The sequence below is a fragment of the Homo sapiens genome, chromosome 19, assembly GCF_000001405.40.
Source record: "Homo sapiens chromosome 19, GRCh38.p14 Primary Assembly".
NCBI lineage: Eukaryota > Metazoa > Chordata > Mammalia > Primates > Hominidae > Homo > Homo sapiens.
The window spans coordinates 5178465-5202177 of NC_000019.10; the positions used below are offsets into that span (position 1 = coordinate 5178465).

Consider the following 23713-nt stretch of genomic DNA (forward strand, 5'->3'; position numbering starts at 1 on the left):
CTTAGGCAGGCATGGTGGCAGGTGCCTGTAATCCCAGCTACTCAGGAGGATGAAGCTTAAGAATCTCTTGAACCTGGGAGGCGGAGGTGGCAGTGAGCTGAGATAAGATGGCACCACTGCACTCCGGCCTGGACGACAGAGCTAGACTCCACCTCAAAAAACAAAACAAAACAAGACAGTGCTCTAACTGCAAGCATACAATTCGATGGCTTTTGTACATATAAACACTTCAGTTACCAACACTTTAACAAAATAGAACAAGGGTTAGCAAACTCTGGTCCCTGGGCCACATTCAGTCCACTGCCTGATTTTGTATGGCCCATAGACTAAAAATGTTTCTACGTTAAAACAATTTTTAATAATATTCAAGCTTTTGCTCATTCTTTCATTTATGCAATTTTCTTTGAGATGGAGTCTTGCTCTGTTGCCCAGGCTGGAGTGCAGTGACATGATCATAGCTCACTGTGGCCTGGACCTCCAAGGCTCAAGCAATCCTCCCACCTCAGCTTCCTGAGCAGCTGGGACTACAGGCAACCCCGCCCTCTCCTCCTGCATTCAGCTTGGATGTTGCTTCCTCCAGGAAGCCTTCCATGCCTCCTGATGCCCATCTCTCTGGGTGCCCTAGGTGCTAAGGACGGCTGCGATTATGCCACTGCACTCCAGCCTGAGCAACAGAGTGAGACCTGGTCTCTAAAAGGAAGAGACATCTTTCTCCATGAAGCCTCAAAGGATTTCAGGCATCTTTCCACACTTAACTGAAAACCTACTCCCAGACTGAGATTTAAGCAGCCTGTGTGGACTGGGAGGAAACTTTAAAGAGCTTTACAGGACAGGGCAGGGAAGGGCTGTCAGCAGAAGGCTCAGCCCAAGCGAAGGTTAGGATGCCGAGCTTGTCAGAGGGGGTTTGAGGAGGAACCGGTGTCGGCCTGGGCCCGGCCCACCTGGAGCCCTCGGCGCAGTGAACATCAGCTGTGCTGGTCACGTTGCCTCCATCATTCTGTGCATCTGTGCAGCGTGGCCATGTGCCAGCCAAGAGGACCCAGAGTGTAGCAAGAACAATTAGCCCATGACGGATGGCGCCTCGGTCCACCTTACTTTTGGCAAGGCTAATTGTTGAAGTAAAGCTTCCACCGGGGTCACTCGCTACTGCACTGGGCGGTGTTTCCCAAACCCCGTCTCCAGGAAACTGACATGGACCTGGGAGTTGTGGGAGGGGGTCCCCTGAGCTGGTTTGCTCTCAGCACTGGGGTCTCTGCAGAGTCTCCCAGGAAACCACCTGGGCTTGGCTTGGGTGTTTGTTGCTGGGAAGGTTTATCATGTATAAGACCACAGACCTCAGTCCATCCCCTCCCTCCCTCCCTCCCTCCTTTCCTTCCTTCCTCCCTCCCTCCCTTCTTCCCTCCCTCCCTCCCTCCCTTCTTCCCTTCCTTCCTTCCTTCCTACCTCCCTCCCTCCTTTCCTTCCTTCCTTTCTTTCTTTTTTTTTTTTCTTCAGGGTGTTGCTCTGTTGCCCAGGCTGTAATGCAGTGGTTCCATCTCAGCTCACTGGAGCTTCAACCTCCTGGGTTCAAGCAATTTTCCACCTCAGCCTCCCGCGTAGCTGCAACCACAGGCATGCACTGTCACAAGCAGCTAGCTTTTTACATTTTTAGTTGAGATATGGTCTTGCTATGTGTTGCCCAGGCTGGTCTTGAACTCCTGGGCTCAAATGATCCACCCGCCTTCGTCTCCCAAAGTATTGGGATTACGATGTGAGCCACTGTGCCCAGCTTCCTGTCCTTAAAAAAAAAAAAAAAAGGCCAGGTGCGGTGGCTCACTCCTGTAATCCCAGCACTTTAGTAGGCCGAGGCAGGTGGATCACGAGGTCAGGAGATCGAGACCATCCTGGCTAACACGGTGAAACCCCGTGTCTACTAAAAATACAAAAAATTAGCAGGGCGAGGTGGTGCACGCCTGTAGTCCCAGCTACTCGTGAGGCTGAGGCAGAAGAATGGCATGAACCTGAGAGGCGGATTTTGCAGTGAGCCGAGATCATGCCACTGCACTCCAGACTGGGGGAGAGAGCGAGACTCTGTCTCAAAAAAAAAAAAAACTTTTAATTTTGAAATGATTATAGATTCATGGGCAGTTGCAAAGGTAGTACAGACAGGATACTGTACACGCTTCACTCAGCTTCCCCCGATGGTTACATTTTATTACATGATCAAAACCAGGAAATTGATATGGATACAATGTATTCAGTTCTTTTTTTTTTTTTTTCTTTTTTGCTCGTTCTGTCACCCAGGCTGGAGTGTAGTGGCGTGATCTCCACTCACTGCAACCTCTGCCTCCCTGGTTCAAGTGATTCTCCTGCCCCAGCCTCCCAAGTAGCTGGGATTACAGGTGGGCGCCACCATGCCTGGCTAATTTTTGTATTTTTAGTAAAGACGGGGTTTCACCATGTTGGCCAGGATGGTCTCAATCTCTTGACCTCCTGATCCACCCGCCTCAGCCTCCCAAAGTGCAATGTATCTATTTCTATGTAATTGTATCACATGTATATATATATTTTTAAGAGAGACAGGGTCTTGGGGCCGGGCGCGGTGGCTCACGCCTGTAATTCCAGCACTTTGGGAGGCTGAGGCGGGCAGATCACAAGGTCAGGAGATTGAGACCATCCTGGCTAACATGGTGAAACCCCGTCTCTACTAAAAATACAAAAAATTAGCCGGGTGTGGTGGCGGGCACCTGTAGTCCCAGCTACTCGGGAGGCTGAGGCAGGAGAATGGCATGAACCCAGGAGGCGGAGCTGGCAGTGAGCCGAGATCGCGCCACTGCAGTCCAGCCTGGGCGAAGGAGCAAGACTCCGTCTCAAAAAAAAAAAAAAAAAAAAAAAAAAGAAAGACAGGGTGTCACTGTGTCACCCAGGCTGTAGTGCAGTGGTGTGATCATAGCTCACTGTAGCATTCAACTCCTGGGGTCAAGCAATCCTCCCACCTCAGTATCCTGAGTAGCTGGGACTACAGGCATGCACCACCGTGCCTTGCTGATTTTTTTAATAGAGAGGGGGTTTTGCTATGTTGCGCAATCTGATCCCAAATTCCTGGCCTCAATTGATCCTCCTGCCTCAGCCTCCCAAAGTGCTAGCATTACAGGTGCATACCACCACACTAGGCTTATTTTAAAATTTGTCTGTAGAGATGGGGTTTTGCTATGTTGCCCAGTCTGATCCCAGATTCCTAGCCTCAAGTGATCCTCCTGCCTCAGCTTCCCAAAGTGCTAGGATTACAGGTGTGCACCACCACACTAGGCTAATTTTTAAATTTGTCTGTAGAGATGGGGTTTTGCTATGTTGCCCAGGCTGGCCTCCAACTACTGGCCCCAAGTAATCCTCCTGCCTCAGCCTCCCAAGGCACTGGGATTACAGGCGTGAGCCACCATGCTCGGCTATCACACATAAATTCTTGTAACTAACCACAGATGAGATACAGAACTATTCGGTCCCCACAAAGATCTCTCTAAAGCTACTCCCTGGGAGTGACCCCCACCCCATTCCTAACCCTAGGCAACCCCTAATCTCTTCTCCAGTCTACAACTTTATTATTTCAAGAATATTATAGGACGGGTGTGGTGGCTCACACCCATAATCCCAGCACTTTGGGAGGCTGAGGCGGGTGGATCACTTGAGCCCCGGAGTTCAAGACCAGCCTGGCCAACACGGTGAAACCGCCTCTGTACTAAAAATATAAAAATTAGCCAGGCTTGGTGGTGGGCGCTTGTAATCCCAGCTACTGGGGAGGCTGAGGCAGGAGAATCTCTTGAACCCAGGAGGCAGAGGTTGCAGTGAGTCAAGATCGTGCCACTGCACTCCAGCCTGGGTGACAGAGCAAAATTCCATCTCAAAAAAAAAAAGGAAAGAAAAGAAAAGAAAATTATATATATATGTGATTAATGGAATCCAAACCTATGTTGCATTTTGAAATTGCCTTTTTTTTTCTGTGAACATTAGGCCCTTAGGAGCAGCCAGGGGGTATGTGGGGGTATCAGCAGTTCCTTCCTTTTTAGCCCTGCGTCGTATTCCGTGGTGTGGATGGACCACAGTTTGTTCAACGATCCACCTGTTGAAGGGTACCTGGGTGGAGTCCAGGTTTTGTCTGTTGGGAATAAAGCTGCTATGAACATTTGTAGACAGGTTTTTGCATAGACATACGTTCCCATTTTTCTAGGATGAATGCCAGGAGTGCAATTACTGGACGATGTGGAAAGTGTTTCGGGTTTTAAGAGTTTTCCCAGAGTGGCTATACCATGTTACATCCCCACCAGCAAAGGATGAGGGATCCAGTTTCCCTGTACTTAGAACGTCTTTTATCCCCATTCAGGCTCATCCTGGAAGCCACACATCCCAGCGTTTGCAGAGGCTCCTGGGTTTCACGGAGAGGTCTGGGAAGGGGAGAAAAATGCGAGCTTGTGGTTCTATTCTAGGAAATCGCCACAGGCTTCACTCTGGAGTTGGAAATCTCGCCTGTGGAGCTCAGAGCCTTCATAAGCTTGTGGGATCCAAGATGCCTCACGACTGCCAGACAGAGAATCCACACAGATCGGGCGCCAGAATTTGAAGCAACAGTCAGGCTCCAGCAGGATTTTATCTTAAAAAACAAAATAGGCAATTGGCTGGGCGCAGTGGCTCACACCTGGAATCCCAGCACTTTGGGAGGTCGAGGCAGGAGGATTGCTTGAGCTTGGGAGTTCAAGACCAGCCTGAGTGACATGGCAAATCCATGTCTCTACAAAAAATACAGAAAAATGAGCCGGGTGTGGTGGCGAGTGCCTGTAATCCCAGCTACTTGGAAGGCTGAGGCAGGAGGATCGCTTGAACCCAGGTGGTGGAGGTTGCAGTGAACCAAGATTGCTCCACTGCACTCCAGCCTGGGCAACAGAGTGAGGACCTGTCTCAAAAACAAAACAAAACAAAACAAAAACAAAAACAATTGCTTTACTTTATCTTATTGTCACTTCCATTTCATTTACCATTGCAACTGTGTGCAAATGCTTAGAATGAACAAAGAAATTATGAAGTGCCAGGGGGAAATATTGCCATATTTTTCTTCCCCCAAATTGCACGCTAGAACAATCCCACACCCTTCCCTGCCACTTTGATTTTGCACCACCAATAGTCATGGGGGACACTTTTACAAGAAGAAAAAAATAAAAATAAAAATAAGAAGGCCAGGCGCAGTGGCTCATGCCTTTAATTCCAGCACTTTGGGAGGCTGAGGTTGGAGATCACTTGAGCCCAGGAATTTGAGACCAGCCTGAGCAACATAGCAAGACTTCATCTCTACAAAAAATTACAAAATAAGCCAGGCGTGTTGGCACATGTGTGTAGTCCCAGCTACTCAGGAGGCTGAGGTGGGAAGATTGCTTGACTCCAGGAGGTTGAGGCTGCAGTGAGCTCTGATTGCACTCTGGGAGACAGAGCAAGACCCCGTCTCCAAAAAAAAGGAAAAAAAAGAAAAAAGAAAAGAATAAAATGAGGCTCTATTAGTTTCCCCAAGAGTCTCTTTTAATCCACTGCTAATCAAATCTCTCTCTTTTTGTTTTTTAACTTTTTGTTTTGGACTAATTATAGACTTACAAGAAGTTTCGGCCGGGCGCGGTGGCTCACTCCTATAATCCCAGCACTTTGGGAGGCCAAGGCGGGTGGATCACAAGGTCAAGAGATTGAGACCATCCTGGCTAATACGGTGAAACACCGTCTCTACTAAAAATACGAAAAATTAGCCAGGTGTGGTGGTGGGCGCCTGTAGTCCCAGCTACCCGGGAGGCTGAGGCAGGAGAATGGTGTGAACCCGGGAGGCGGAGCTTGCAATGAGCCGAGATGGCGCCACTGCACTCCAGCCTGGGCGACAGAGCGAGATTCTGTCTCAGAAAAAAAAAAAAAGAAGTTTCAAAAGTAGTACATAGTCTTAGATACCCTTCATCCAGCCTCCTCTAATGGTGACGTCTTATATGACCTTGGGGCAATATCAAATCCAGGAAATTGATGTTGGGATAACACTGGGAAATAGACAGATATACAAATTGTGATATTTTCTAAACCTGCATTCGTGTGTGTGCACGTGTGTGCAAACCTGCATTCGTGTGTGTGCACGTGTGTGCAAACCTGCATTTGTGTGTGTGCACGTGTGTGTAAACCTGCATTCGTGTGTGCACGTGTGTAAACCTGCATTCGTGTGTGTGCACGTGTGTGTAAACCTGCATTCGTGTGTGCACATGTGTGTAAACCTGCATTCATGTGTGCACGTGTGTGTAAACCTGCATTCGTGTGTGTGCATGTGTGTGCCCAGTTCTATGCAGTTTTATTCCATGTATAGATTAATGTAACCATCACCGCCATCAAGATACAGAACTGTTCCATCTTTACAAAGTAACTCCCTCATGCTACTTTTTTTTTTTTTTTTGAGATAGGGTCTTGCTCTGTTGCCCAGGCTGGAGTGCAGTGGTGCAATCTCAGCTCACTGCAACCGCCACTTCCTGGGCTCAAGTGATTCTCCAGTCTCAGCCTCCCGAGTAGCTGGGACTACAGGCACACACCACCACACCTGGCTAATTTTTGTAGTTTTTGTAGAAACAGGTTTTGCCTTGTTGCCCAGGCTGGTCTCAAAACACTCCTGAGCTCAAGCAATCCGGCCACCTCAGCCTCTCTCTCCAAGTCTGGGATCACAGGCGTGAGCCACTGCACCTGGTCACCCTCATGCTACCTCTTTATATTCAACATCCCACCTCCACTTCCCTGTCCCATCACAACCACTAATCTGTTCTCTATCTCTATGGTTTTGCCATTTTGAGAACATCATATAAATAAAATCAGAGAGCATGTACTCTTTGAGGTTGACTGCTTTTACTGTTTATGAGACAGAGTCTTGCTCTGTCAGCCAGGCTGGAGTGCAGTGGTGAGATCATAGCTCGCCGTAGCCTCAACCTCCCAGGTTCAAGCAATCCTCCCACCTCAGCCTCTTGAGTAGCTGGGACTACAGGCATGCACCACCACGCTCAGCTAATTTTATTTATTTATTTTTTTTAAAGATAGAGTCTCCCTCTGTCGCCCAGGCTGGAGTGCAATGGCACAATCTCGGCTCACTACAACCTCGGCCTCCCAGGTTCAAGTGATTCTCCTGCCTCAGCCTCCTGAGTAGCTGGGATTACAGGTGCGCGTCACCACGCCCAGCTAATTTTTGTATTTTTAGTAGAGACAGGGTTTCACCATGTTGGTCAGGCTGGTCTGGAACTCCTGACCTTATGATCCACCCACCTCAACCTCCCAAAGTGCTGGAATTTTATTTGTTTATTTATTTAGATGGAGTCCTGCTCTGTCACCCAGGCTGGAGTGCAGTGCCACAATCTTGGCTCACTGCAACCTCTGCCTCCTGGGTTCAGACGATTCTCCTGCCTCAGCTTCCTGAGTAGCTGGGACTACAGGTGCCCACCACCACGTCCAGCTAATTTTTATATTTTTAGTAGAGAGGGGGTTTCACCATGTTGGCCAGGCTGGTCTTGAACTCCCGACCTCAGGTGACCCGCCCACCTTGGCCTCGCAAAGTGCTGGGATTACAGGCATGAGCCACCACACCTGGCCAAATCTTTAAAAACTTTTTTTGTAGAGACGGGAGAATATCGCTATGTTGCCCAGGCTGGTCTTGAACTCCTGGCCCCAAGTGATCCTCCTACCTCAGCCTCCCCACAGGGCTGGGATTACTGGCGTGAGCCACTGTGCCTGGTCTGTTTTCACTTCATCATGCTCTTGAGGTCCATCCAGGTCTCAATCTTTTGTCCTTTTTTTTTTTTTTTTTTTTGCTGAGTAATATTCCAGGCATGGAATGGAGGTGCTGCCATATGTTCAACCATCCAACCACAGAAGGGCCTCTGGTTTCCAGTATTTTGCTATCATGAATAAAGCTGTTATGAATGTGTGTGTACTATTTTTTGCATGAACACATGTTCTCATTTCTCCAGGATTGGTGCCTGAATTGTATTCAATTGCCGGGTGGTATGCGAATTGCATGTTCCAGCTTTGGAGAAACTGCCAGACTGTTTCCACAGCGGCCACGCCCTCTTACATCCCCACCAGCACTGCGGGAGAGAGCCAGTTTCTCCACGTCCTCACCAGCATTTGGTGTTGTCATTATTTTTTACTGTTCTAATAGGTGTGAAGTGGTGTGTCATTCTAGTTTTAACTTACATTTCCTAATGGCTGATGCTGTTCAACATCTTTTCATGTATCAGATCTTTCTCTTTAAAAACAAAAAATTCATTCAGGCTTTCCATACAGGAAACAGTGGATTATTCCATTACACACACACACACACTCACACAGACACACACATAGACACACACACACATTCACACACATACATACTCACATATACACACACATACACACACATACACATACACACACACATACACACATACACACACACACAGATATAATTTTTTTTTTGAGATGGAGTTTCCCCCTTGTCACCCAGGCTGGAATAAAGTGGCACCATAGCTCACTGCAACCTCCACCTCCCGGGTTCAAGCAATTCTTCTGCCTCAGCCTCCCAAGTAGCTGGGACTACAAGCGCTGGCCACCACACCTGGCTAACTTTTGTGTTTTTAGTAGAGAGAGTGTTTCACCATGTTGGCCAGGCTGGTCTCGAACTCCTGACCTCAGGTGATCCACCTGCCTTGGCCTTGGCCTCCCACAGTGCTGGGACTACAGACGTGGGCCACCGTGCCCGCCCCCCACCTCTTTTTTTTTTTTTTTTGAGACAGGGTCTCTCTCAGTCACCCAGGCTGGAGTGCAGTGGTGCAATCATAGCTCACTGCAACCTCCACCTCCTGGGCTCAAGCAATCCTTCCACCTCAGTCTCTGAAGTAGCTGGGACTACAAGTGTGCAACACTATGCCTGGCTAATTTTGTTTGTTATAGACACAGGGGTCTCACTCTGTTGTCCAGGCTGATTTTGAATTCCTGGGTTCAAGTGATCCTCCCCCAGTGCTGGGATTACAGATGTGAGCCACCATACCCAGCCTCCAATGCACATCCTGGTGAATTTTTACATTCATATTGTGAGGGGTGAGTGAACGGTGGGCTTTGGGTGGGGGGTCAGAAACTCCCCAGCACCCCTAGTTCACCCTCACAGGGCTGAGCTTACTTCTGCAGGCAGAGCAAATCCCCCAGGCGGACTTTGCCGTTTGCAATCAGCAGTCATTAATTAGTGTGTTTAGGTGAACACAGCTGTTGTGATCAGGGCCTCTGCAGTATCCACTAATTTATTTTTATTTTATATTTTTTTGAGATGGAGTCTCGGTCTTGTTGCCCAGGCTGGAGTGCAAAGGTGCCATCTCGGCTCACTGCAACCTCCACCTCCTGAGTTCAAGCAATTCTCCTGCCTCAACGTCCCGAGTAGCTGGGATTACAGGCACCCTTCACCACGTCTAGCTAATTTTTGTATTTTTAGTGGAGATGGGGTTTCACCATGTTGGCCAGGCTAGTCTCGAACTCCTGACCTCAGGTGATCTGCCTACTTCAGCCTTCCAAAGTGTTGAGATTATAGGCGTGAGCCATGGCGCCCGGCTGTATCCACTAATTTAACAGTGACTGACTTATTTTCCAGGGCGTCCCACTGTTCTCAGGACACGCCCCTCAATGTGGCCCTCACAGCTCATGCTGAGGTTTGAAGGTGCCCCTTCCAAAATTCACATGTTGGGACTTAATGGCCAATGTGATGGGTATTAACAGGTGGAGCAGGTAGGAGGTGATTGGGGCCTGAGGACACCTTCCTGGTGAATGAGATTAAGGCCCTCATAAAAGAAGCACTGAGAACGGTCGGCTCTTTTTGCCCTTCCACCCTGTGAGGACAAAGCGTTCTTCCTCTCCAGAGGATGCGGCAACCAGGTCCCGTCCTGAAGCAGACCTCAGCCGTCACGAGCGACTGACCTGCCGGCACCTTGATCTTGGACTACCTGACATGCAGAACCGTAAGGAAATCAATTTCTGTTCTTTATAAATGACCCAGCCTGACGCATTTTATTAGAGCCATGAAAATGGATTGAGACAATCCTCCATCTCTTGCCTCTGCCTCTCCGAATTTGTTTCATGCAATATTCCCCACCCCCAAATTCCTCAAATGCACCAAGCCCCCATCCATCTTGCCAGCCTTTCTCTGGGCTGCTTCCCAGAACCACTTTCATCCTTCCTTCAGGCCAGCTCCTTCCTATTCATCCTTTTGAATCTTGGCTTAAACGCCACTTCCTCCAGGAAGCCTCCCCTGCTTGCTACCTTCCGGTCTGAGCCCCTGTTCCAGATCCTCACATCTCCCTGGGCTCGCCTTTGGAGAACTTCTCATGGCCATATTTATAACCATGATTTGCAGGCAATGTAGGGCTTCTCTTATCTGCCTTGATTTGCTTAAGGCCAGGGGTTTGAGACTGGCCTAGGTAACATGGCAAGACCCCCCCCCCCCGCCAACCCACCCACCACCCCATCTCTTCCCACGGGGCAGAAAATCCAGCCTTGCGGTATCCGAGACACTCAGCCTGGAGCCTGGTATACAGTAGGTGCTCAAGCAGAGAAACTCAGGAGGGGAGTGAAGCGCGGCCTAAATCACGTGGCTCAGCCCATTGCATATTTCCTGCTGTTTTCCACGTCCCCCGGGGGACCCACTGGCCCTCTACTCAGGACGCCAGGAATTGAAAGTAAGTGTTCCCTCCACAAGTTTCCCCCATCTACGTTCATCTTCTGCACGGGCTAATTTTATTAAAGTTCCTCAAAGAGAGAATTGTAAATTCATTAGCACGCATGTTAGACCAGACCTTCCTTTACGCCGGGTAGAAAAAGATTAGGAGTCAGCTGAGCCCGATGATAATGAAACAGAAGATGCTAAAACATCATTCTTAATTAAACTGTAATGAGATAAGAAGTTGTCGCCGGCTTGTGGGCCTGGCTTGAGTCGCTCATGTTCCCATCGTAAATCTATGATTTATGGTTCTCCTCCCTCACAGATGTAATTAGTTTTTTCCCCCTCTAAACAAAAAATCCTAAACACTACTTCGATTATATATATGTATAAAAAGCCTGGACCACAATTGGAGGTTGTTTTTATCTAGCTGGAATAATAACTTCAATTAGGAAAAAAAATAAATGCTGGAGGTTGAAAGAGGGAGAATTCAAGAGGAGGAGATGAAGGAAAGTTGGGGGGAAGTGCCCAGTTCCGTCCTGGCCCAGACTCTTGGACTCTGCCCAGGTGGTGCTTCTGCCAGGATAGCCCTTGGTCATTTTAGGGATCTGCGGACATTTTTCACTGTGGAAACCTTCCCCAGATCCCTGTGTCTCCCTGAGCCTCATAGCTGGTTTGTGGCAGGTTTTGTATCATGGTAGATCTCGCAGCTGCATGCTTCAAGAATATTTGGGGTCTAGGCTGGGTATGGTGGCTCACGCCTGTTATTCCAACACTTTGAGAGGCCAGAGCAGGAAATTTGCTTAAGGCCATGGGTTCGAGACCAGCCTGGTTAACATAGCGAGACCTCCATCTTTTAAAAAAAAAAAAAAAAAAAAAAGGCCAGGCGCGGTGGCTCACGCCTGTAATCCCAGCACTTTGGGAGGCCGAGGCGGGTGGATCACGAGGTCAGGAGATCGAGACCATCCTGGCTAACACGGTGAAACCCCGTCTCTACTAAAAATACCAAAAATTAGCCAGGCATGGTGGCGGGCGCCTGCAGTCCCAGCTACTCAGGAGGCTGAGGCAGGAGAATGGCGTGAACCCGGGGGGTGGAGCCTGCAGTGAGCCGAGATCGCGCCACTGCACTCCAGCCTGGGCGACAGAGTGAAACTCCGTCTCAAAAAAAAAAAAAAAAAAAACAGCCAGTTGTGGTGGTGCATGCCTGCAGCCCCAGCTACTAGGGAGGCTGAGCTGGCAGAACTGCTTGAGCCTGGAAGTTCGAGGTTGCAGTGAGCTATGATTGCACCACGCACTCCAGCCTGGGCAACCGAGCAAGACCCTGTCTGCCTTCCTGTTGTCTACCTCTCTTCCCCAAGAGGAACCAGGTGCCTGACTTTGGGGACTCCACAATCTCGGGGAGGGAAGCTGATGTTCATCAGATAACCACACACCAAAATGAGAGCTATGGTAGCTGGACAGGGTGGGAGGAGAGCTTTGGACGAAGGCCCAGAGGTGGGACAGCAAGGATGGGATGATGGGAAGCTGGGGAGTGAGGAGTTGGCCTTGGGAGGTCCTGGGAGGTTTAAAAGTCTGTTTTAAATTGAGATCATTTACATAGCATAAAAATCACCGCTTTAAAGTGGACAATTCAGTGTTGTTTTAGCACAAAGCGTGCAACCATCACACTATGTAATTCCACAACGTTCCAGCACCCCAAAAAGAAGCCCTGGCTGGGCGCGGTGGCTCACACCTGTAATCCCAGCACTTTGGGAGGCTGAGGCGGGTGGATCACCTGAGGTAAGGAGTTCCAGACCAGCCTGGCCCACATAGTAAAAGCCCATCTCTACTAAAGATACAAAAAATTAGCTGGGCGTGGTGGAGGGTGCCTGTAATCCCAGCTACTCGGGAGGCTGAGGCAGGAGAATGGCTTGAACTCAGGAGGTGGAGGTTGCAGTGAGCCAAGATTGCACTATTGCACTCCAGTCTGGGTGACAGGCTGAGACTCCGTCTCAAAAAAAAAAAAGCCCATCCCTATCAACAGTCACTCTCCCTCCCCTCCCCAACCCTGTGGTCAGCCACAAATCCCCTTCCTGTCTCTGTGGATTGGCCTGTCCCGGACATTTCATGGAAGTGAGATCATACACTGTGTGGCCTTTTGTGTCTGGCGCCACTCACTGAGTCTGAGGTCCTCAAGGTGCATCTGTGCTGTTTCCTGTGTCAGAGCCTCATTCCTTTTCATGGCTGAATAATATTCCATTTTACAGATAGACCCTGTTTTCTTTACCTATTCTTGTGTTGGATGTTCGGATTGGTTTCACATCGTGGCTGTTAAAAATCACACTGCTATAAACATTCAAGTAGAAATTTTGGTGCCAACATGGCCAGGCGTGGTGACTCACTTCTGTAATCCCAGCACTTTGGGAGGCCGAGGCAGGTGGATCACTTGAGGTCAGGAGTTTGAGACCAGCCTGGCCAACATGGTGAAACCTCATCTCTACTAAATACAAAAAAAAAAATTAGCCAGGCATGGTGGCAGGTGCCTGTAATCCCAGCTACTTGGGAGGCTGAGGCAGGAGAATTGCTTGAACCCGGGAGGCGGAGGTTGCAGTGAGCTGAGATCACGCCACTGCACTCCAGCCTGGGTGACAGAGCGAGATTCCACATTCTACCACAGTGTAGCCGCATCATTTTACCTCCCGCCGGCTGTGGACAAGGACTCCCGTATCTGCACACCCTTACCAGCGCTTGTGAGTGCACGTTTTTCTGTCTGTGTTTGCTTTTCGCTTGGATTCTAGCTCTCACAGTGGGTGGGAAGTGTGGGGTCGTGCAATAGCTGGTTCACCGAAAGGGATCGCGCTTGCGGGCGGCTCAAACTGGAGTGATGGTGCCAGGGAGGCCCGGGGACAGGATGCAATTTGCAATTCCCCGTAGCTCTCTGTCATCCTCCTGCCCAGGGTCCTATTTGAGGGCTCCCACAGTGGGAGTGTTTCAGGAATGGGGTTCCGATCCAGACCCTGAGAGAGAGGGTTCTTGGATCTCACACAGGAAAGAAGTCAGGGCAATTCCATAAAGTGAAAGCAAGTTTATTAAGAATTTAAAGGAGGCTGGGCGCAGTGGCTCATGCCTGTAATTCCAGCACTTTGGGAGGCCGAGGCGGGCGGATCACCTGAGGTCAGGAGTTCGAGACCAGCCTGGCCAACATGGCGAAACCCCTTTTCTACTAAAAATACGAAAATTAGCCGGGCATGTTGGCACTCGTCTGTAATCCCGGCTACTCAGGAGGCTGAGGTGGGAGAATCGCTTAAACCCAGGAGGCAGAGCTGATAGTGAGCCGAGATCGTGCCACTGCACTCCAACCTGGGCGACAGACTGAGACTGTGTCTCAAAAGACAGTAAAGGAATGAAGAATGGCTACTCCATAGACAGAGCAGCCCTGAGGGCTGCTGATTGCCCATTTTTAGGTTTTTTCTTGATGATATGCTAAACAAGGGGTGGATTATTCATGCCTCCCCTTTTTAGACCATGTGGGTAACTTCCTGGCGTTGCCATGGCATCTGTAAACTGTCATGGTGCTGGAGGGAGTGTAGCAGTGAGGACACCCAGAGGTCACTCTCGTGGCCATCTTGGTTTTGGTGGGATTTGACCAGCTTCTTTACTGCCACCTGTTTTATCAGCAAGGTCTTAGTGACCTGTATCTTATGCCAACCTCTTATCTCAATCTGTAAGTTAGAACATCCAACCTTTGGCTGGGTGCAGTGGCTGATGCCTGTAATCCCAGCCCTTTGGGGGGCCGAAGCGGGCGGATCACCTGAGGTCAGGAGTTCGAGACCAGCCTGACCAACATGGAAAAACCTCGTCTCTACTGAAAATACAAAACATTAGCTTGGCATGGTGGCACATGCCTGTAATCCCAGATACTCAGGAGGCTGAGGCAGGACAATCGCTTGAACCTGGGAGGTGGAGGTTGCAGTGAGCCGAGATGGCGCCATTGCACTCCAGCCTGGGCGACAAGAGTGAAACTCTATCTCAAAAAAAAAAAAGAATGTCTAACCGTCTGGGAATGTCACCCAGTGGGTCTCAGCCTCATTTTACCCAACTCCTATTCAAGATGGAGCTGCTCTGGTTCACACGCCTCTGACAGGAGGGAGGAGGGGGTTAAGCCGGCCCAGACATCTCAGAGCTGGGAAACTTCAGCTGGGCCCCCAAACACAGCGAGGCTGCCTATTCAGGGGAGCCATTCAGCCGTTGCCCTGTTTGAAAAGGCCAAGCCTCTGTGTGCAAAGCCTCAAGGCAAAGTGGCTTCGTGCCTTCCTTTGTGAGGTCCAGCTGCTGGCTCTTTGTCTGGGGGGCTGTGGGGGTGGGGGCAGGCCTGCCCTGGCCTCTCCTGAAACCCTCCCAGCTGCAGCCACCCCTTTGTCTGCCCTGATTGAAATGCGAAGAGAAAATTAGAATTCCCTGGCCTTCTCTCCTCCTCTTTCTTCTGGATTTTAATGAATTCAGCCCTTACAGGCTGCGCAGGTGAAGAAAATGGCTTTGGAGACTTTTTTGTTGTTGTTGAATTATTTTCATTTCCAGGACGATGTTCGCGTTCAACTTCATTCCGCAGAAGGTTCCCCTAAAGTGGTCTGGGCTGCTGCTTCCTGATTTCTGGCTGGTCGGCCAGAGTTCCAATCAGACTTTTTGTTTTGAATCCACAAAGAGACTTTCTAGAGCTTTATCTGATCTGTTCTAGGAGGCAGATAACCATAAATAAAATTAAATATGAAAGAAACAAAATTATGGTAATAAAAGTTTGCCTGCCCAAGGACTTGAACTTTAAGCCAATTGTCCTAATCACAGTGGTTTATGACTGTCATCCCAGCCCTTTGGGAGGCTGAGGCAGGAGGATCACTTGAGCCCAGGAGATGGAGGCTGCAGTGAGGCGTGTTTGTGCCACTGTACTCCAGCCTGGGAAACAGAGTGAGATTCTGTCTCTAAAATAAGTTTTTTTTTTTTTTTTTTTTTTTTTTTTTTGAGACGGAGTTTCGCTCTTGTCACCCCGGCTGGAGTGCAATGGCACGATCTCAGCTCACTGCAATCTCCACCTCCCGGGTTCAAGCGATTCTCCTGCCTCAGCCTCCCAAGTAGCTGGGATTACAGGCACCCACCATCATGCCTGGCTAATTTTTGTATTTTTAGTACAGACAGGGTTTCACCATGTTGGCCAGGCTGGTCTTGAACTCCTGACCTCAGTTGATCTGCCTGCCTCGGCTTCCCAAAGTGCTGGGATTATAGGCGTAAGCCACCACGCCCGGGCTTTAAAATAAGTTTTAAAAATATAAACCGTTGGCCGAGCATGGTGGCTCATGCCTGTAATCTCAGCACTTTGGAAGGGCCGAGGCAGGAATATTGCTTGAGCCCAGGAGTTTGAGACCAGCCTGGGCAACACAGCAAGACCGCGTCTCTTTAAAAAAAAAATAAAATAAAAATTATATAAACTAACCTTCAGAGGAGATGGCGCCTTATCAACCTGTCTGGGCTTCCCACCACATTAATAAAACTGGGGTGGATGGTGGGACCAGTGAGTTTGTAGCCATCTACACTGTCTTCAAATGGCACACTCTTGTCGCTGGTCCTCATGTGAGCTGTGGCTTCCTCTAGACACAGCCTTGCCCTGCACTCCCCCTCCCCTAGGAAGATCTTGGAATCTTATTCACTGTGCACCTTGAGAAAGCCGTTCCTGATGCCCTCCCACCGATGTACCCACAACCACTCATGCCCCACCTGGTAGAGCTCTTGGCACCAAGAATTGAAATTGCTGAAATTGTCTTCCCTGAGTCTCACTCAGCAACAAAACCCATGTAAGCAGGAAGTATGTCTGGTTCACTTTTTTTTTTTCCAAGACAAGGTCTCACTCTGTTGCCCAGTCTGGAGTGCAGTGGCACAATCTTGGCTCACTGCAGCCTCTGCCTCCTGGGTTCAAGTGATTCTCCTGCTTCAGCCTCCCGAGTAGCTGGGACTACAGGCGCCTGGCCTCATGCCTGGCTAATTTTTGTATTTTTTAGTAGAGACGGGGTTTCACCATGTTGGCCAGGGTGGCCTCAAACTACTGACCTCAGGTGATCCACCCACCTCGGCCTCCCAAACTGCTCAGATTATAGGCGTGAGCCACTGTGCCTAGCCTCTTGTTCACTATTGAATTTCCATGGCCTTGTGGCTTGTTGAGGGTAGGGAAGACTCTAGGGCCAGGAGGTCCAGGTTCACATCCTGGCTCTGCTATTTCCTGGCTGTGTGACCTTGGGCAAGTTATTTAACCTCTCTGTGCCAGTTTACTAATCTACAAAATGGGGATGATATTATATCAGAGGGCTGTGAAGTACTACGGGCAGTCACTCAATAAATGGAAGCTGTTTCTCATAAGATAGTGGCAGGACCCCGGGAAACAGCATAGTTAGCAAGATATAGCTCTGTCTCAGTCTTTCGTTTGTTTTTTGGGACCCAGGCTGGAGTGCAGTGGTGCAGTCATAGCTCACTGCAGCCTCGACCTCCTGGGCTCAGGAGATTCTCCTACTTCCCCGAATAGCTGGGACCACAGGCACATGCCACCACACCTGGCTAATTTTTTTACAGAGACAGGGTCTTGCTATGTTGCCCAGGCTGGTCTCCAACTCCTGGGCTCAAGTGATCCTCCCACCTTGGCCTCCCAAAGTGCTGGGATTCCAGGCATGAGCCACCATGTCTGGCCTCTGTCTCATTCTTGTGGCTGCTTCTCTCTGCCTGTGGTAAGCTGAGTCTATAACAGCAGAGATGGATGGAAGCATGTTCCTTTATGTTTTGTTTTATTTTTATTTCTTTATTTTTTTGAGATGGAGTCTTGTTCTGTCGTCAGGTTGGAGTGCGGTGGCACTATCTCGGCTCACTGCAATCTCCACCTCCTGGGTTCAAGTGATTCCCCTGCCTCAGCCTCCCAAGTAGCTGGGATTACAGGTGTGCACCACCATGCCTGGCTAATTTTTGTATTTTTAGAAAGGAGGTTTTGCCATGTTGGCCAGGCTGGTCTCTAGCTCCTGACCTCAAGTGATCTGCCTGTCTTGGCCTCCCAAAGTGCTGGGATTACAGGCCTGAGCCACTGTGCCTGGCTATGCTCCTTTATTTATTTATTTTTTTTCCGAGATGGAGTGCAGAGGCGTAATCTCAGCTCACTGCAACTTCCGTCTCCTGGGTTCAAGTGATTCTCCTGTCTCAGCCTCCCGAGTAGCTGGGATTATAGGCATCTGCCACCACGCCTGGCTGATTTTTATATTCTTAGTAGAGACGGGGTTTCACCGCGTTGGCCAGGCTGGCCTCGAACTCTTGACCTCGTGATCCGCCTGCCTCGGCCTCTCAAAGTGTTGGGATTACAGGCATGAGCCACAGCACCTGGCCCTGTTCCTTTATTTTTTAAATTTGTTTTTAATGACACAATTACGATATAAAAGCATTTTTCATAATAGAAATGGTGCCGTAAAAACTAAAGTTTCGTTCACTCCTCTTTAATCCTATGCTCACTGTGGCCCTCTGTGCTAATTTTATTTTATTCATTTTTTAAGAGACAGGGTTTCGCTATGTTGCTCAGGCTGTCCTTGAACTCCTGGGCTCAAGCGATCCTCTTGCCTCAGCCTCTCGAGTAGCTGGGACCACAAGTGTGCCCCACCAAACCTGGCTAATTTTTAGATTTTTTGTAGAGATGGGGTCTCCCCATGTTTCCCCAGGCCGATCTGAAACTCCTGGGCTCAAGCGATACTCCCACCTCGGCCTCCCAAAGTACTAGGATTGCAGGCGTGAGCCACTACGCCCTGCCCCTTGCCTCAGTATTGAATTTAGTGGCCATGGTCTGAGTAAATCCAGCCCACCACTGGTTTTGTAAATAAAGTATTATTGAAACACAGCCATGCCCATTCACTTTGTCTATGGCTTTTATACTTTACTGGCACAGGTGACCAGATGCAACAGAGACTTTTTGGCCTGCAGAGCTTAAAACATTTACCATCTGGTTCTTTACAGAAAAAGTTTGCCAACTTCTGTTCAAAAGCTTCAGCATTATCAAGTTAATGTCTCAAGTTGAGAAAATTCATTTCCTAGTTTGCTGAGTGTTTATTTTAAACATGCTTTAAAAAAAAATCAAATGCTGGGCTGGCACGGCGGTTCATGCCTGTAATCCCAGCACTTTTGGAGGCCGAGGCAGGAGGATCATTTGAGGCCAGGAGTTCGAGACCAGTCTGCCCAACATGGTGAAACCCTGTCTCTACTAAAAATAAAAAAGTTAGCCAGGCATGTTGGCAGGCACCTTATAATCCCAGCTGCTCGGGAGGCTGAGGCAGGAGAATCTCTCGAATCTGGGAGCTGGAGGTTGCAGTGAGCTGAGATCACGCCACTGTACTCCAGCCTGGGGGACAGAGTGAAACTCTGTCTCAAAATAAATAAATAAATAAAAAGAAATGTTGCCCCAAAGCATTTTAAAAATTGATTTATGGTATTTTTATTATGGAAAAATATTTCCACATATTTGTTATAATTTGTTACATTTTTATTATTTATTTTAATAAGTGATATAATGGGCTTGGCATGGTGGCTCACATCTGTAATCCCAGCACTCTGGGAGGCCGAGGCAGGGGGATCACTTGAGGTCAGGAGTTCAAGACCAGCATGGTAAATGTGGTGAAACCCCGTCTCTACTAAACATACAAAAATTAGCTGGGCGTGGTGGTGGGCGCCTGTAGTCCCAGCTACTTGGGAGGCCGAAGCGGGAGAATTGCTTGAACCCAGGAGGTGGAGGTTGCAGTGAGCCGAGATTGCGCCTCTGCATCCAGCCTGGGCGACAGAGCGAGACTCCATCTGGGGGAAAAAAAAAAAAAAAAAAGATAAAATGAACACCATATACTTAACACCCAACCAAAAAAATCAAACACTACACTTTTTTTTTTTTTTTTTTGAGCGGAGCCTCACTCTGTCACCCAGGCTGGAGTGCAGTGGCACAATCTTGGCTCACTCACTGCAAGCTCCGCCTCCTGGGTTCACGCCATTCTCCTGCCTCAGCCTCCCTAGTAGCTGGGACTACAGGCGCCTGCCACCATGCCCGCCAAATTTTTTTGTATTTTTAGTAGAGACAGGGTTTCACTGTGTTAGCCAGGATGGTCTTGATCTCCTGACTTCGTGATCTGCCGGCCTCGGCCTCCCAAAGTGCGGGGATTACAGGCGTGAGCCACCGCATCCAGCCAACAATACACATTTTATTGCATTTACCTATGTACCGTTTGCTGAATACATTCTCCTTCCTCCTGCACAGAAGGAACAATTACCCTGAATTTGTTTAAAGGTGAGCTTTTCTCTTTTTTTTTTTTTTTTTGTTTTTTGTTTTTTGTTTTTTGGACACAGCATCTTGCATTGTCTCCCAGGCTGGAGTGCAGCAGCGTGATCTCAGCTCACTGCAACCTCTGCCTCCTCAGTTCAATCGATTCTTGTGTCTCCCAAGTAGCTGGGATTACAGGCATGTACCCGCACACCCAGCTAATTTTTGTATTTTTAGTAGAGATGGGTTTTTACCATGTTGCTCAGGCTGGTATTGAACTCCTGAGCTCAGGTCATCTGCCTGCCTCGGCTCACCAAAGTGCTGGGATTACAGGCGTGAGCCATCACGCCCAGCCTCCTAAGACTTTTTAGCTTTTAGATTTTACATGTATTTTGAGTTACTATTTTGAGTTATTTTCATCTATTTTGAGTTACTTTTTGTATATGGTATGAAGTATATAGTTTCATACTTCGCATATAGATACCTAGGTGGTCCAGCAACATTTGTTGAAGAAGTTATTCTTTCCTAATTAAATGGTCTTGGTACCCTTGTCAAAAATCAACTGGCCAAGACTGGGATCACACCTGCAATCCCAGCACTTTGGGAGGCCAAGGCAGGAGGATCACTTGAGGCCAGGAGTTCGAGATCAGACTTGGCAACATAGCAAGATCCTGTCTCTACAAAAAAAAATTAAAAACTAGCTGGGTGCTGCTGGGTGCGGTGGCTCATGCTTGTAATCCCAGCATTTTGGGAGGTTGAGGCAGGCAGATCATGAGGTCAGGAGTTCGAGATCAGCCTGACTAACATGGCGAAACCCCGTCTGTAGTAAAACTACAAACATTGGCCAGGTGTGGTGGTGCACAGCTGTAATCCTAGCTACTCAGGAGGCTGGAGCAGGAGAACTGCTTGAACCCAGGAGGCGGAGGTTGCAGAGAGCCCAGATCACATCCCTGCACTCCAGCCTGGGAGACAGAGTGAGACTCTGTCTCAAAAAAATAATAATAGTAAAATAATAATACAATAAATTAGCTGGGTACTAATTGGTGGTGGTGTGGTGGTGCATATAGCTACTAGGGAGGCTGATGTGGGAGGATTACCTGAGCCTAGGATTTGACGGCTGCAGTGAACTCTGATTGCACCATTACACTCCAGTCTGGGCAACAGAGTGAGACCCTCCTTTTTTTTAAAAAAAAAAGTCCATTAGCCATAGATGTGTGGGCTTATTTCTGGATTCTCAATTTTATTCCATTGATCTGTGTGTCTGTCCTTACACCAGTACCACAGTGTTTTAATCATTGTAGCTTTGTAGTCAGTTCTGAAATGGAGAAATTTGGGTTTTCTAATGGTATTTTTTTCCTGCAAAATGATTTTGACTATATGGATTCTCTTGTAATTCATTATGAATTTGTGGAGTGGCTTTTCCATTTTTGCAAAAAAGTCTTTGGGATTTTGAGGGGGATTGCATTGAATCATAGAGTACGTGAGGTAGTATTGCCATCTAGATGAGTTTTTATATCTTTGCTGCTTATAGTGTTTCCCCCTAACTAATACGTGTTTGCTTTGTCAGTTTTAAAATGTTCTGTGATGAAATTGCACTGTAACTTTTCTTCCTGAAATCTGCTTGTTTTGCTCAGAATATTTCTGAGATTTGTTCAGGTCATGGTGTATAGTTTTAATGGCCTCATATTCGTTGCTGTATAGTATTCCATCGTGTGCCTGTATCATAATTTTTTTCTTTTTCTGAGATGAAGTCTCACTCTGTTGCCCAGGCTGGAGTGCAGTGGCACGATCTCAGCTCACTGCAACCTCCACCTCCCGGGTTCAAGCAATATTCCTGCCTCAACTTCCTGAGTAGCTGGCTTCACAGGCATCTGCCACCATGCCCAGCTAATTTTTTGTATTTTTGGTAGAGACGGGGTTTCATCATGTTGGCCAGGCTGGTCTCGAACTCCTGACCTCAGGTGATCCGCCCACCTGGGCCTCCCAAAGTGCTGGGATTATGGCGTGAGCCACCATGCCTGGCCTTTTTTTTTTTTTTTTTTTTTCTTGAGACAGGGTCTCACTCTGTTGCCCAGGCTGGAGTACAGTGGCACAATCTTGGCTCACTACAACATCTGCCTCCTGGGCTCAAGCAATCCTCCTACCTCAGCCTCCTGAGTAGCTGAGATTACAGGCAGATACCACCACATTCAACTAATTTTAAAACATTTTTTGTAGTGATGAGTTCTCACTATATGCCCAGGCTGCTCTCCAACTATTGGGCTCAAGTAATCCGCCAGCCTCAGCCGCCGAAAACACTGGGATTACAGGCATGAGCCACTGTGCCCAGACTTTCATAATTCTTTATACATTTTCCTGACGGCTATTTAGTTTGGTTCCAATATTTTAACGACAAATAATGCCACTCTCGACATATCTGTACATGTCCCCTTGGACATATCTGCAAGAGTCTCTGTCAGATGTATATCTAGGAATGGAATCGTTGACTGAAAAAGTTAGGTGCATCCTTAATTTACTAGATACTCTCAACTTGTCCTCCAAAAGCACCAATCTGTTCTCACTCAGAGTTTCTAAAGTCAAACTATCCTTGCATTCCATAAATCTGTCTGAGTCATAACATTGTATTCTTTTAATGAGATGTTAGATTTCCATTGCTGAAATTTTCTTGGCCTTTTTGCATCTAGGCACATAAGTGGAATGTGCTTTTTTCCTCCTTAGTTTGTCCTCGTACAGTTTAGGTACCATCTCTTTTTTCACCTCATAAGCTGACAGTTGACAAAAGGTGCAAATCATCTCTTCCTTGCGGATTTGGCAAAACTCACTTGGAAAACTATCTGGGAAGGTGCCTTGTATGGGGCATAGATCTTTACTATCACTTCACTATTTTCTTTCTCTCTCTCTCTTTTTTTTTTTTTTTTTTTTTTTGAGAAAGGTCTCTCCATCACCCAGGCTAGAGTACAGTGGAATGATCACAGTTCACTGCAGCCTTGATTTCCTGGGCTCAGGTGATTTTTCCACTTCAGCCTGCAGAGTAGCTGGGACTACAGGTGTGTGCTACCATGCCTGGCTAATTTTTTGTATTTTTGGTAGAGATGGAGCTTTGCCATGTTGCCCAGGCTGATCTTGAACTCCTGGGCTCAAGTGATCCGCCCACCTCAGCCCCCAAAGTGCTGGGATTACAGGCATGCACCACCACACCCTGCTAATGTTTGTATTTTTGGTAGAGATGGGATTTCACAATGTTGGCCAGGCTGGTCTTGAACCCCTGACCTCAGGTGATCCACCTGCCCCAACCTCCCAAAGTGCTTGGATTATAGGTGTGAGCCACTGCACCCAGCTTCCCCATCTTTTTCTCTCTTCACTGTCTGTTCTTACAACTATCCTATGGAGGGAGAGAAGGGGATTTTTTGCATACCAGTTCTGCTACCGGTAGCCTCCACTGCCCCTGTCTGTTTCCTCCTTGGCTCTCCCAATACTCATCTTACCAAAAAAAAGAAAAAAAAAAGGTTTCATCTCTAAAGTGTTCTATCCCCACTTTTCTGATATTATTTGTACTTTCTCTTTTTTATTATCTTTGCCTAAGGTTTTTGGAGTTTTCAAAGAAAAGGTTTTTGATCTTGTCAATGCAAAAGAGCCATATCAAAATGCCCAATTAAGAGTTATTTCCAGGCTGGGTGCAGGGGCGCACGCCTGTAATCCCAGCACTTTGGGAGGCCAAGGCG

At 48.2% G+C, this 23713-nt stretch overlaps 1 annotated feature.

Annotated features, from left to right (window-relative positions):
- Positions 13003-13665: an enhancer, noted in NCBI's record as "H3K27ac-H3K4me1 hESC enhancer chr19:5191478-5192140 (GRCh37/hg19 assembly coordinates)". NCBI's record gives its function as "activates a minimal SCP1, AML or CMV promoter by ChIP-STARR-seq in naive H9 embryonic stem cells {active_cell/tissue: H9 hESC(naive)}" and the evidence as "EXISTENCE:reporter gene assay evidence [ECO:0000049][PMID:30033119]".